This window comes from Homo sapiens, chromosome 1 (genome assembly GCF_000001405.40).
Source record: "Homo sapiens chromosome 1, GRCh38.p14 Primary Assembly".
Classification (NCBI taxonomy): Eukaryota; Metazoa; Chordata; class Mammalia; order Primates; family Hominidae; genus Homo; species Homo sapiens.
The window spans coordinates 179,591,155-179,605,042 of record NC_000001.11 but is presented as its reverse complement, the minus strand read 5'-3'; the positions used below and the strand labels follow the sequence as shown (position 1 = coordinate 179,605,042).

General features: G+C 38.4%; 1 protein-coding gene across 10 annotated transcripts in view, besides 1 other annotated feature; it reads right to left on the bottom strand.

Moving 5' to 3' along the window:
* Positions 1-13,430, bottom strand: part of TDRD5 (tudor domain containing 5) — a 99,660-nt gene extending 86,230 nt beyond the window's left edge. For 2 of the 10 annotated variants that reach the window (XM_047447750.1, NM_001349923.1), the window contains exons 1-4: positions 13,218-13,430; positions 12,196-12,441; positions 11,176-11,583; positions 9,225-9,415 (exon numbers count right to left, since the gene is read on the bottom strand). In XM_047447750.1, the coding sequence (XP_047303706.1) occupies positions 9,225-9,415; positions 11,176-11,583; positions 12,196-12,427 (831 nt within the window). In that variant the 5' untranslated portion in view covers positions 12,428-12,441; positions 13,218-13,430. The other 8 variants (XM_005244934.2, XM_047447752.1, NM_001199085.3 and 5 more) reach the window with 5 other exon arrangements.
* Positions 6,253-6,312: an enhancer, noted in NCBI's record as "active region_2152". NCBI's record gives its function as "activates an Ori minimal core promoter by ATAC-STARR-seq in GM12878 lymphoblastoid cells {active_cell/tissue: GM12878}" and the evidence as "EXISTENCE:reporter gene assay evidence [ECO:0000049][PMID:35858748]".

The following is a 13,888-nucleotide window of genomic DNA, read 5'->3' as shown; positions in this document are numbered from 1 at the left end:
TTTATAAAACAATTACTAATAGACCTAAGAAATGAGATAGACAGCAACACAATAATAGTGGAGGACCTCAATACTCCACTGACAGCAGTAGACAGGTCATCAAGACAGAAAGTTAAAGACACAATGGATTTAAACTATACCTAGGAACAAATGGACTTAACAGATATATACAGAACATTTCATCCAACAACTGCAGAATACACATTTTATTTAACAGGGCATGGAACTTTCTCCAAGATAGACCATATAATAGGCCATAAAACGAGCCTCAATACATTTAAGAAAATTGAAATTATATCAAGCACTTTTTCAGACAACAGAGGAATAAAACTGGAAATCAACTCCAAAAGGAACCTTAAAAACCATGCAAATACATGGAAAATTACCTGCTCCTGAATGATCATTGGGTCAAAAATGAAATCAAGATGGAAATTAAAAAATTCTTCAAACTCAATGACAATAATGACACGGTCTATCAAAAACTCTGGGATACAGCAAAGGTGGTGCTAAGAGGAAACTTCATAGCCCTAAACGCCTACATCAAAAAGGCTGAAAGAGCACAAACTGACATTCTAAGGTCATACCTCAAGGAACTAGAGAAACAAAAACAAACCAAACCCAAACCCAGCAGAAGAAAGGAAATAACCAAGATCAGAGCAGAACTAAATGAAATTAACAACAACAAAAAAATACAAAAGATACATGAAGCAAAAAGCTGGTTCTTTGAAAAGATAAATAAAATTAATAGACCATTAGAAAAATAAACCAAGAAGAGAAGAGAGAAAATCCAAATAACCTCATCAAGAAATGAAACAGGAGATATTATAACTGACACCACTGAGATACAAAAGATTATTCAAGGCTACTACAAACACCTTTATGCACATAAACTAGAAAACCTAGAAGACATGGATAAATTCCTGGAAAAATACAACCTGCCTAGCTTAAGTCAGGAAGAATTGGATACCCTGAACAGCCAATAATAAACAGTGAAATTGAAATGGTAATTTAAAAATTACCAACAAAAAAAAGTCCAGGAGAAGACAGATTCACAGCAGAATTCTAATAGACATTCAAAGAAGAATTGGTACCAATCCTTTTGACACTATTCCACAAGCTAGAGAAAGAGGGAAGCCTCCCTAATTCATTCTATAAAACCAGCATCACCCTAATACCAAAATCATGAAAGGACATAACAAAAAAAGAAAACTACAGATCGATATCCCTGATAAACATAGATGCTAAAATCCTTAACAAAAATACTAGCTAACCAAATGCAACAACATATCAAAAAGATAATCCACCATGATCAAGTGAGTTTCATACCAGGGAGGCAGGGATGGTTTAACATATGCAAGTCAATAAATGTGATACACCACATAAACAGAATTAAAAACAAAAATCACATGATCAACTCAATAGATGCAGAAAAAGCATTCAACAAAATCCAGCATTGCTTTATGATTAAAACTCTCAGCAAAATCGGTACACAAGGGACATAGCTCAATGTAATAAAAGCCATCTATGACAAACCCACAGCCAACATAATACTGGATGGGTAAAGTTGAAAGCATTCCCTCTGAGAGCTGGAAGATGACAAAGATGCCCACTCTCACCACTCCTCTTCAACATAGTACTGAAAGTCCTAGCCAGAGCAATCAGACAAGAAAAATAAATAAAGGACATCCAAATCAGTAAAGAGAAAGTCAAATTGTCATTGTTTGCTGACAATATGATCATTTACCTTGAAAACCCTAAAGACTCCTCCAGAAAGATCCTAGAGCTGATAAAAGAGTTAAGCAAAGTTTCCAGATACAAGATTAATGTACACAAATCAGTAGCCCTTCTATACACCAAAAGTGACCAAGCGGAGAGTCAAATCAAGAACTCAACCCCTTCACAATAGCTGCAAAAATAACAAAATACTTAGGAATATACCTAACCGAGGAGGCAAAAGACCTCTACAAGGAAAACTACAAAACACTGCTGAAAGAAATTATAGATGAAACAAACAAATGGAAACACATCCCATGCTCATGGATGGATAGAATCAATATTGTGAAAATGACCATACTGCCAAAAGCAACCTACAAATTCAACGGAATCCCCATCATAATATCACTATCATTCTTCACAGAATTAGAAAAAACAATTCTAAAATTCATATGGAACCAAAAAAGAGCCCGCATAGCCAAAGCAAGACTAAGCAAAAAGAACAAATCTGGAAGCATAACACTACCTTATTTCAAACTATACTATAAGGCTATAGTCAACAAAAAAGCATGCTACTGGTATAAAAATAAGCACATAGACCAATGGAACAGAATAGAGAACCCAGAAATAAACCCAAATACTTACAGCCAACTGATCTTTGACAAAACAAACAAAAATATAAAGTGGGGAAAGGACACCCTTTTAAACAAATGGTGCTGGGATAATTGGCTAGCCGCATGTAGGAGAATGAAACTGGATCCTCATCTCTCACCTTACACAAAAATCAACTCAAGATGGATTAAGGACTTAAACCTAAGACCTGAAACTATAAAAATTCTAGAAGATAACATTGGAAAAACCCTTCTAGACATTGGCTTAGGCAAGGATTTCATGACCAAAAACCCATCAGTAAGAAAAAAAACAAGCAATCCCATCAAGAAGTGGGCTAAGGACATGAATTGACAATTCTCAAAAGAAGATATACAAATGGCCAACAAACATATGAAGAAATGCTCAACATCACTAATGATCAGGGAAATGCAAATCAAAACCACAATGAGATACTACCTTACTCCTGCAAGAATGGCCATCATCAAAAAATCAAAAAACAGATGTTGGCATGAATGCGGTTAACAGGGAACACTTCTATGCTGCTGGTGGGAATGTAAACTAGTATAGCTGCTAAGGAAAACACTGTGGAGATTCCTTAAAGAACTAAAAGTAGGCCAGGTACGGTGGCTTATGCCTGTAATCCCAGCACTTTGGGAGGCCGAGGTGGGTGGACTGCCTGAGCTCAGGAGTTCACAACCAGCCTGGACAACATGGTGAAACCCCATATCTACTAAAATACAAAAAATTACCTGGGCGTGATGGCGTGTGCCTGTAGTCCCAGCTACTCGGGAGGCTGAGACAGGAGAACTGCTTGAACCCAGGAGATGGAGGCTGCAGTGAGCCAAGATTGTGCCACTGCACTCCAGCCTGGGCGACAGAGCAAGACTCCATCTCAAAAGGAACTGAAAGTAGAACTACCAGTTGATCCAGCAATCCCACTACTGGGTATCTACCCAGAGGAATCATTATACGAAAAAGATACTTGCAGATGCACATTTATAGCAGCACAAATTGCAATTGCAAAATCATGGAACCAACCCAAATGCCCATCAATCAACAAGTGAATAAAGAAACTATGGTATCTATATACAATGGAATACTACTCAGCCATAAAAAAGGAATGAATCAGTGGCATTTGCTGTGACCTTGATGAGACTGGAGACTATTATTCTGAGTGAAGTAACTCAGGAATGGAAAACTAAACATCATGTTTTCACTGATATGTGGGAACTAAGCTATGAGGACGCCTAGGCATAAGAATGATACAAAGACTTTGGGGACATGAGGGGAAGGGTAGGAAGGGGGTGAGGGATAAAAGACTACAAATAGGGTGCAGTGTATACTGCTTGGGTGATGGGGGCACCAAAATATCACAAATTACCACTAAAGAATTTACTCATGTAACCAAATACCACCTGTACCTCAACCACCTGTGGAAAATAATAAAACAAACAAACAAAAACCCAAAAAACAAAATAGCCAAACCATAAACCAACTGAACTAAAAGGTAAAATAGACAAATCTATAATTATGTTTGAAAATTTCAATACTCCTCCCTCAGTAGTTCATTAAAAAAGTTAAAAAGAAATCAATGACATAACTGACTTAATTGACATTTATAGAATATTATACTCAAATATAGCAAAATACATATTCTTTTGAAGTGAATTATGAAACATTTACCTAGATAAACATATTCTGAGCCATATGAGTCTCAATAAATATATAAGGAATGAAATCTATGTTGTTGGACCACAATGAAATTCGAACAGAAACATCTCTGAAAAAAATCCCCAAATATTTGGATATTAAACAACACACTTCTAAATAATCCATGATACAAAGAAAAAACCAAAAGGGAGATTAGTAAATTTTGACCTGAAAATGAGTTTTCCTATCAAATTTGAATTTCATATCAAAGTTTGGGAGATGTAGCTATAGCAATACTTAGAAGAAATTTATAACCTTAAATGTTTACATTAAAAAGGGAGCAAAATCAATGACCAAACTTCTACCTTAAGAGCAAAGAGGAAATTAACCCAAAGTAAACAGAAGTTACAAAACAATGAGAACAGAAATCAATGAAATAAAAAGTGGAAAAATAAAAAAAATTATCAAAACTAAAAACTTGTTCTTTGAAAAATACAGCCATGCATCTTTTAACAATGGGGATACATTCTGAGAAATGCATTATTAGGTGATTTCATTGTTGTACAAACATAGAATGTACGTAACACAGACCTAGATGGTATAACCTTACTACACACCTAGGATATATGGTACAGCTTATTGCTCCTAGGCTACAAACCTGTACAGCATGTTACTGTACTGAATACTATAGGTAACTGTAACACAGTAGCATTTGTGTATCTAAACACAAGAGGTACAGTAAAAATACAGTATAAAAGATAAAATGGCACATCTGTATAAAGTACTTACCATAAATGGAGCTTGCAGGGTTGTACGTTGCTCTGGGTGAGTGGGTGGTGAATGTGTAGGCCTAGGACATTATTGTACACTACTGTAGACTTTATAAACATCATACACTTAGGCTATACTAAATTTATCTTGTCATGTGGTAAGGTGTTCAGGGACAATAATATGCATGGAGCTGTCATCACCTATGATAACAATGCCTTCCTTCTGGAATACTTCCTGAAGGAAATGCCTGAAGCTGTTTTACAATTAATTTTTTTAGTAAGGAGTGCACTCTAAAATAATGGTACAAAGTACAGTAAAAACACAAACCCATAACATGGTTGTTGATTGTCATTATCAACTATTATGTATTGTACATAATTGTGCTATATATATGACTGTCACCACAAATGTAAGTGTTGCATTGCACTATGTTGTTACAACAGCTACATCACCACCAGGTGGCAGGAATTTTCCAGTTCTGTTATAATTTTGTGGAACTACTGTTGCACATGCAGTCTTGTTGACACAAGTGTCATTATGTGGTGCATGACTGTGTATAAGTGAATAAATCTTTAGTGAGACTGATATGTGTATGAGAGAGATAGAGACAGATAAAGAGCAAGCATCACAGACCCTAAAGACCTTAAAATGTTACTGGGAGAACATTATGAACAACTTTATTTCAATAAATTTGACAACCTAGATGAAATGGACAGCACCTCGAAAGACAAGGTACCAAGGCTCATTTAAAAAAAAAAAAAGAAAGCATAAAATACAAAATAGCCCTATATCTGTTAAAGAAACTGAATTTGTTGTTTAAAACCTTTCTGCAAAGAAAGCTCCAATTTGGTTCACTGATAAATCCTATGAAATATTTAAGAAAAACAAATACCAATGCTACACAAACTCTTTCAGAATAAAGAGGTGGAAAAAAACTTCCCAACTCCTTTCACAAGAGGCCTGTATTAAAATGATTCCAAAACCAGATAAAAGCATTACAAGAAAACTACAGAATATATCTTATAAACATAAATGCAAAACCCTTAAAATATTAGCAAACTGAAGGTAGCAACATATAAAAAGGATACTATATGATGACCAAGCAGGATTCATCCAGAAATATAAGGTTGGCTGAATATAAAACCAAGAAAAGAAATTTTTAAAAAACAAAAGTCCTATAATAATTTCAATGTATGGAGAAAGAACATGACAAAATTCAACATACATTCAGGAAAAAAATTCTGAGAAACTAGGAATAGGAGGGAATTTTCTCAACCTGATAAAAGGCATCTAAAAAGCTACAGTTAATATCATAATTATGAAAGACTGAATATTTTCCCCATATAGTTAGGAACAAGTCAAGATTTTCCACTCTCACATTTATATAATATTATATAATACTAGAGAGCCTACACTGTGTGGTAAGGGTTGGAGGAAAGGCAGATAGATTGAAAAGGAGGAAGTAAAACTGTCTTTACTCTCAGATGGCATGACGGTCTATGCAGAAAATCCAAACTCTACAAAATAGCTGCTAGAATGATTTGAATTACAGAACTGAGTTTATCAAGTACCATGACTCAAGGTCACAGGATACAAGGTCAACATACCCAAAAAAAAAAAAACCAATTGATTTTCTATTAGCAATGATTAGAAATTTTAAATACCATTTATAATAGCTAAAAAATATGAAAGGTGTAAAGGATAAGTTTAACAAAATATGCGCAAGCTTTATGCATTGAAAACTATAAAACATTGCTGAGAGAATGTAAAGACCTAAATAAATGAAGATATACCATGCTTTTGAATCAGCAGACTTGATACTGTTAAGATGTCATTTTCCCCCCAAACATATCTATAGATCCAATGTGATTCTAATGAAGATCACAATCTTATTTATTTCTGGCAGAAACTGACAAGTTGATTTGTATCAAATTAAATGTATCTGCAAATGCAAACCTAGAATATCCAAAGCACTTTTGAAAAATAACAAAGTTGCAAGACTTAACTACAGTCATGGGCTGCATTATGACTTATGGTCAACAATAGACCACCTGTATGATGGTGGTCCCACAAGATTATAATACTGTATTTTTTCTGTACCTTTTCTATGTTTAGATACACAAATACCCCGTTGTGTTACAACTGCCTACAGCATTCAGTCCAATAACATGCTATAATGGTTTGTAGCCTATGAGCAATAGGCTATACCATATAGCCTAGGTGTGTAGTAGGCTATATACCACCTAGGTTTATGTAACTGCATTCTATGATGATCATACAATGATAAAATCACCTAACAACACACTTCTCAGATCATATCCCTGTCATTGACACAGGACTATATATGACAAAGATATTATAAAGCTACAGGAATAAAGATAGTACAGTATTGGCAAAAACAGAAATGTAGATAAATGGACCTGAACAGAGTCTCAAAATAGAACTACACATGTGTGAGGTGAATGGAGGTGCCAAATTAATAAGGAATAACTGTCTATATGCAGAAAACTTTGATCCATGCCTGGTACCTTAGGCAAATCTGGCTTGAAATGGATAATATACCTAAATATAAGAACTGAAAACATAAAACTTCAAGAAAAACGTAGGAGAAAAACTTGTAACTTCGATTAAAATCCATTAGATAGGCAAGAATAAAAGAAAAATATGGGCCAGGCGTGGTGGCTCACATCTGCAATCCCAGCACTTTGGGAAGCTGAGGCAGGCAGATCCTGAGGTCAGGAGTTCAAGACCGGCCTGACCAACATGGTGAAACCCTGTCTCTAATAAAAATACAAAAATTAGCCAGGTGTGGTGGCTGACGCCTGTAATCCCAGCTACTCAGGAGGCTGAGGCAGGAGAATCACTTGAGCCCGGGAGACGGAAGTTGCAGTGAGCCGAGATCGCACCATTGCACTCCAGCCTGGGTGACAAGGTGAGACTCCCTATCAAAAAAAAAAAAAAAAAGAAAAAAAGAAAAGAAAGAAAAATATGAATAAATTAGACTGTATCAAAATTAAAGACTTTTCCACAACAGACAGGATTAAGGAAATGAAGAAGCAAACATCGGCCAGGAGAAAATATTTACAAAACACGCCTCTGATAAGGACTTACATCTAGAATATGTAAATTTTTCCAATTCAATACAATGACAACACAGTTTTATAAAATGGGCAAAATATTTGAATAGACACTTCAAAAAGGAAATACAAATGGCAAACACGCATGTGAAAAGATGCTCAACATTATCATTAGATTATTATGATCCAACTTAAAACCATGAGATAGCACTACACACCCACTCAAATGGCTAATATTTTTAAAACTGACAATCCCAAATGTTAACAAAGATGTGTAACAACTACAACTCTCATACATATCTAATGGGAAAGGAAAGTCATACAGCCACTTTGGAAAACAATGGTAATTTCTTATCAACATACACTTACTATATGATGCAGTAATCCAACCCCCAGGTATTTACACAAGAGAAATGAACTATGGCCATACAAGATGTATGCAAATAATGACAGTGGCTTTATAAGTAAAGGACCAAAGAGGAAATAACCCAAATGTCATCTAATGGGGAAGGTATAACAAATTTACGTGTATCTGTATAATGGACTAACACTAAACAAGAAAAAGGAACAAATTACTGATATATACATCTTGGATAAACCTCAGAAGTATTCTACTAAGTTAAAGAAGCCAAACACAAAAGATTAGATATTGTTTGATTCCATTTATATGAAATTCCTGGAAAGCCAAAATCATAGAAAGCAGTGGTTGTCTGTGGCTGCAGTTGGGGAAAGAAACTACAAAGTGGCATGAAGGAGCTTTTTTGGGGATGATGGAAATGTTCTGTTTTTTATTTTGATGGTGATTGTATAATTATATATTAATCAAAACTCGAACTGTGCACTTAAAATGAGTAAATTTTACTACATGTAAATTATGTTACTAAAGCTAATTTTAGTAGAAATCAGGCATTTTCATGTTTTGAACTTAATTTCCACGTGCTCATTCTGAGCTCTAACTTAAGTTGTTAACATGATGATTTAGTCAGGCATTTATTGGTTATATTCTAATAGTTTTTATTCAAAGTCCTTCAGCATTACAGTCACAGAAAAATACCAGGATTATTATGCTCAGGGACAGCCATTCAGAAGATATTTGTGAGGTAAATTGCAAATATGCTTCTGTAACTTTGGTGAGGAACTGGAACTAGAGATACAGATTTGGGAGTTGGGAGTCATTTGCAGAAAATAGTGGAAACTGTGGAGTTGATAAAATTGTACTCTTCTTTCACTCCACTTCTCACTTCTTACTAATCTACAGAACCATAGGAAATGCTTAGTCAAATTTGAAATAAGTGAATGACTTCAGTTTTTAAAAGGTCAACTTTTCCATCAGATCAAAGTGTTAACACCACTGAATTTAAAAACATCGTATATTTATATCTCCAAATTCTTATCTCTCACCTGGTTTAATTTTTCAGTGTGATTCAGTCTTGAAGTCTCCACTACATTTAACTTGGAAGTCTTTTCCATGCTCATTATTTGCTTCGGTGGTTCCATGTTTGAAGTGGGTTGTGAAAAGCATGGCTTTGCTACCGGAAAGCCTGTGGAGTATGACCCTTGTTTCATTCTAAATGGCTGGGTAAAAATTTTACCTTTTGTGAGTAATAGAAGAAGAAAGAAAAATTGTCACTAGCAACTTCTATTTCATTTTCCGGTGGCTACATACAGAGGCTACTGTGAGCTAACTGCCTTCAACTTAGAAGCAAAAATTAAGAAAAGAAAGCTGACATTTTTACATCAAGCCAAAACTTACATATAGTGTAAGTTATTAGTCATCCATAGAGGAAGACAGAGATCATTAAGTGTTACCAAAAGCTTGGGGCTATCTAAAAGTCCACTTAAGGTCACCTGAATCTAATTATAGAGAGGTGGGATTCAATATGTAAAAAGCTGTATCCCATTTAGGAGACAAAAAAGTCTCCAAGGAGCCTGCTTAGCACTATGCTTTTCAAACTGGATAACCACTAGTAGTAGTACCACAGTTCTGGGAGGATGAAAAGCTACAGAATAAAATATAAAATATAAATTCTTCAAGATTTGTAGGAAGGGGGAATACCACTGGAGAGGTGTATTCTGTTGCATGACATGAAAGATACATCACCAGACTTCACCACAGCCTAGCTCTTCCTTTACCCTAAGGTCAAGTTCACCAAAAAAAAACAAAAACAAAAAACAAAAAAACAACAGTTGACTTCAAGATATCCTGATGACAGAAGTAGGAACCATGGATGGAGAACATGAACAAAATCACTGGAAAGGAATATTCACCCCCCACTATTCAATAAATTGGTAAAGTGCTTTCTACAACTCAATCTCTTGCAAGTGTAATAGTATGAGTTAGTCTTCCCAAGTTTTAGGACTTCAAGAATACTGATAAAGTTGAGGGCTAGACTTGAAACACTTAGTGGCCTCCAGAGCCTTCCCTATCCAAGTATATCCTCATATCCTCAAACTACATCACCTACCACAGTGTAAATATTGGTTTATAAACTTGTGACACATCCTCTTGGTTCACCTATGTTAATCTAAATGCAGAAGTTGGAGAAAAAGAAAATCACTGAAATAAGCATAGAATTCTCCCAAGTAGGCTCCGCCTATGCTCAGTGTGTAAACTGTACATTGTCAAGGGAGATACTACCCAGATGGTCACACTGGTCTCTTGAGCCTTTAATAGACACAGCATTTGGGCAGAAATTCACTGGATGGGCAGCAATAAGAGCTGGGTATCTAACTCTAGCTGTACCACTTTTCCAGCCATGTGACTTTAGAAAAGCCATTTAATTTTCCTTAGCTTTGATCTCCCTATCTATAAGACACAGTTACTTACCCTACCTAGTATGGTAATGAGAATGCAAGGTAAAATGCTATACAGATAAGGTGGTTATTATTACACCACAAAAGTTACCAAAGTGTCTCCTAGGATAAGCCCCAGTGATGGCAAAGATTAGAAGGGTTAAGGCTAATAATTTAAGTATTTTAACTTTTCATTTTCCATATAGCTTATTTATATGAACACATTCATGTAAAGTTCATTTACAGTGTTCTAGAGAGAGCTGATCTTGTAGTTTTTAAAATAATAATAGCTACCACTTATTATCAGCTTACTAAATGCCAGAGATTTTACAGAACTCACCTCATGTAAGGTCCTCAACACAACCCTGAGAGGGAAATACTGTTATTTCTATTTTAAAGATGAGGAAAACTAAGGCTTAAGTAGATTGAACAGTTCGCCTGAGACCACTCAGCTGGCAAGTAGTAGAGCCAGGCTTCAACTCTAACGAACTCATAGACCTTAGTGATTACACACCCCTCTATGTGCCATGACTGCTCCAACATTTGCTCACATGCGTACCTGCTGGACATCCTCTCGGCTTTTCCTCTGTTACACTCTTCTTTAGCATCAACAAAGAACCTGCTCTGGTCTGCTCTACAGAAATGACATCTGAAGCCGCATTAAGCACTTCAAACATAGAGAGAAATCCATATTGCATGTATTGGAATGATCGTCCAAATCTTTTGGCAAATGCCTTTTCAAAATCAGAAAGAAGAACAGGAGATAACGCCAACAGGTCCTTCAACTCACTCTTCACAACAGCTGGAAGAATAGGGGCAACCCTTCCTCGGTAAGGTACTCGCCGATGAGATCTCGGTCCAGAATAAATACTAGGTCTTCCCTTATGCATTGAGTTTCGAAGCTTATGGCTGCTCCTCTGTTTTGCAACTAAGCTTGCTATTCCTTTGGTAGATTCATCTGGAATGGCTGAGACGTGAAAAATAGAAATCATATTTAGGAGGAAAACTTACTCCCTTCTTTATCCTTAGTATCTGTGTTTATACAGTTTTTAACTCTCCAAGGAGCTGTTTATCCAGGCAGCACGATAAACAGTAACTCTTGGTTCCTCGATTTCTTGCATTTTGGGCAACAGCTTGCTAGCTCTCCTGCCAGCTGAAGAAAAGTTAACTCAATGTATTATCATTACAACTAATTGACCCCTGACAGATTTTTTGAAACTCTTGGGATGAACTGCAAACTTCCCTACAATAGTTTTTTCTTGTGCTTCACGAAATTTAAAACATGTTTTTATAATTAAGAAGTCCTTTTTTTGTTTCTCTCGACTTAAGGTGCAAGAACCTGAAATCATATGTAAAAATGTAGCTTTTGTGAGTGCACGATTGTTTGGGGGAATGGTTTGTTAATTTTGCAGAGGTTCCAATTTTGCCCACAACCTCAAAAGCACCTATGAGTCTCCCTCCCCCACCAAATTAAAATCCACTGGCTGGGATGCATAATAACTGCAGAACTAGAATAATTATTTACTAAGCAATTGTTTTTATTACAAAGTTTATAGACCTTCAAAAATCTTAAACCTACCTTTCAGTATTACAGTACCACCTGCACCGGGGCAGACACGAACAACATCAGGCATGTCCAATACCAGCTCCATAGTGGACCGATACCCAAGGATTCGGAGTGGTAGATGGTTGCCAACCATCAAAAGGTACTCCTTCTCCAACTCCTGTGGGCTCAAACCATCTTTGGTGGAAATGAGAAGTGACCTTATTTCCTTCCGCAGACATTCCTGTATACGCTCTTGTTCAGACATTGTGCCCTACAGGACTGAAGACAGAAACGCAGCTGAGGAAAAGGGGGCAAACCCACGAAAAAAGATTTAAAAAAAAACCAATAGTGGGATACAAATAACTGAGACTCCAGTTTTAAGGGTAATAAGGCAGAAGTAGTAGTATGAGGGTGCCCTGCGGCTTGCGCGTGGCCGGGCGATTCAAGCCCTGAATCTCCACCTGCGTTGATTAAGCTACAGGTGTCAAGAACTCTGCCCCTGGCCATGCGGAGGCGTTAACTGGGGTTCCTGTCGGGTGTTGGACTCCAACGCAAACTTCCCATCCGAAGCCTTCAGGGGCTCCTCGGGAACCAGGACTAGGAACTAAGGCCAACGCAATGCCGCCTCCGCCCTGCAGGGCGAGGGCCCCACGAAAAAAGGCGCTCCCGCCGCACACCTCTGGCACCCCAAGCCGAGGGGGCGCTCCCCGCTCCCTCTTACCTGAAGGTACCACCAATCTTCGCCCGCCCCCTACCTGGTCTAGGGTTGGGGTCCCTGCCCCACCCCCAACGTCTCTCGGTGACCCTCACGGGAGCGGGGCGTGGCCCTTCCACCTGCCCTGGCGGCTCTCTGCAACCTGAGGTGGAAAGGAAGGCAGGAGGCGCCAGGTGAGGCGCCCTTCTCGGCCCGGCACCGCCCTGCTGCCAGTCACCCGTCTTGCCCCCACCGCGCCCTGACGCCAGCGCTGCTGGTGCGGGCCGAGTAGAGATTAGGGGGCCCTCTCCGAATCGGCGCAGGAAGGTAGCTGCGACGGCGGCCCCGCGCGCCTGCGCACCAGCGCCCCCTGACCAGCAGGCCTCTCCCGGGGCGCCGCGTTCCAGCCCCGAGGGCACGTGGCAGGTGGGACGGTTGGGCAGGATTAGCCGCTCCGGGGTCAGGTGTGAGGTCCGCCCCAGTCTCAGGAGCCGCTGGGCCCGGCTGCAGAGGCTGGCCGCCTTCCAGGATCCCAGGCGCCTACGTCCTCCGACGCGGTGGGAAGACGCGAGGTGGGGCTGCAGCCCTTGAACCAATCCAACCACCTCCAGAGCTAGGGCCGGGCCTGACGCAGGGAGGGGAAGCGGGCCGCGTGGGCCTCAGAATCACCTGTGGGGCTATGTAAGAGGCGAAAAGGATGCACAGGTCTGATAAGCAGAGATTCTCATTCAATAGGTCTGGGTTTATTTGAGGAAAATCACAGACAGAAAATTCTGATTCTTGGCTGAGAATCCCTGCAGAGCTAAAGGCAACTCTGGCTCCCTGATGAAGGAATGGGTGGGGCTAGGAGACCTTTTTAAATGAGCGGACAACATTCTAGGTGCCACTAGAGATTTATTTGGATGTATAGTTGGTTTGGTAGAATGAGCCAGATTTATAAAGTCCTTGAAAACCAGAAAACAGTAGTTTAAGAGATATAGAATAGGGAGGGGCATTGTATAATATAAAGACTTGTACCTTAAAATGTACAGT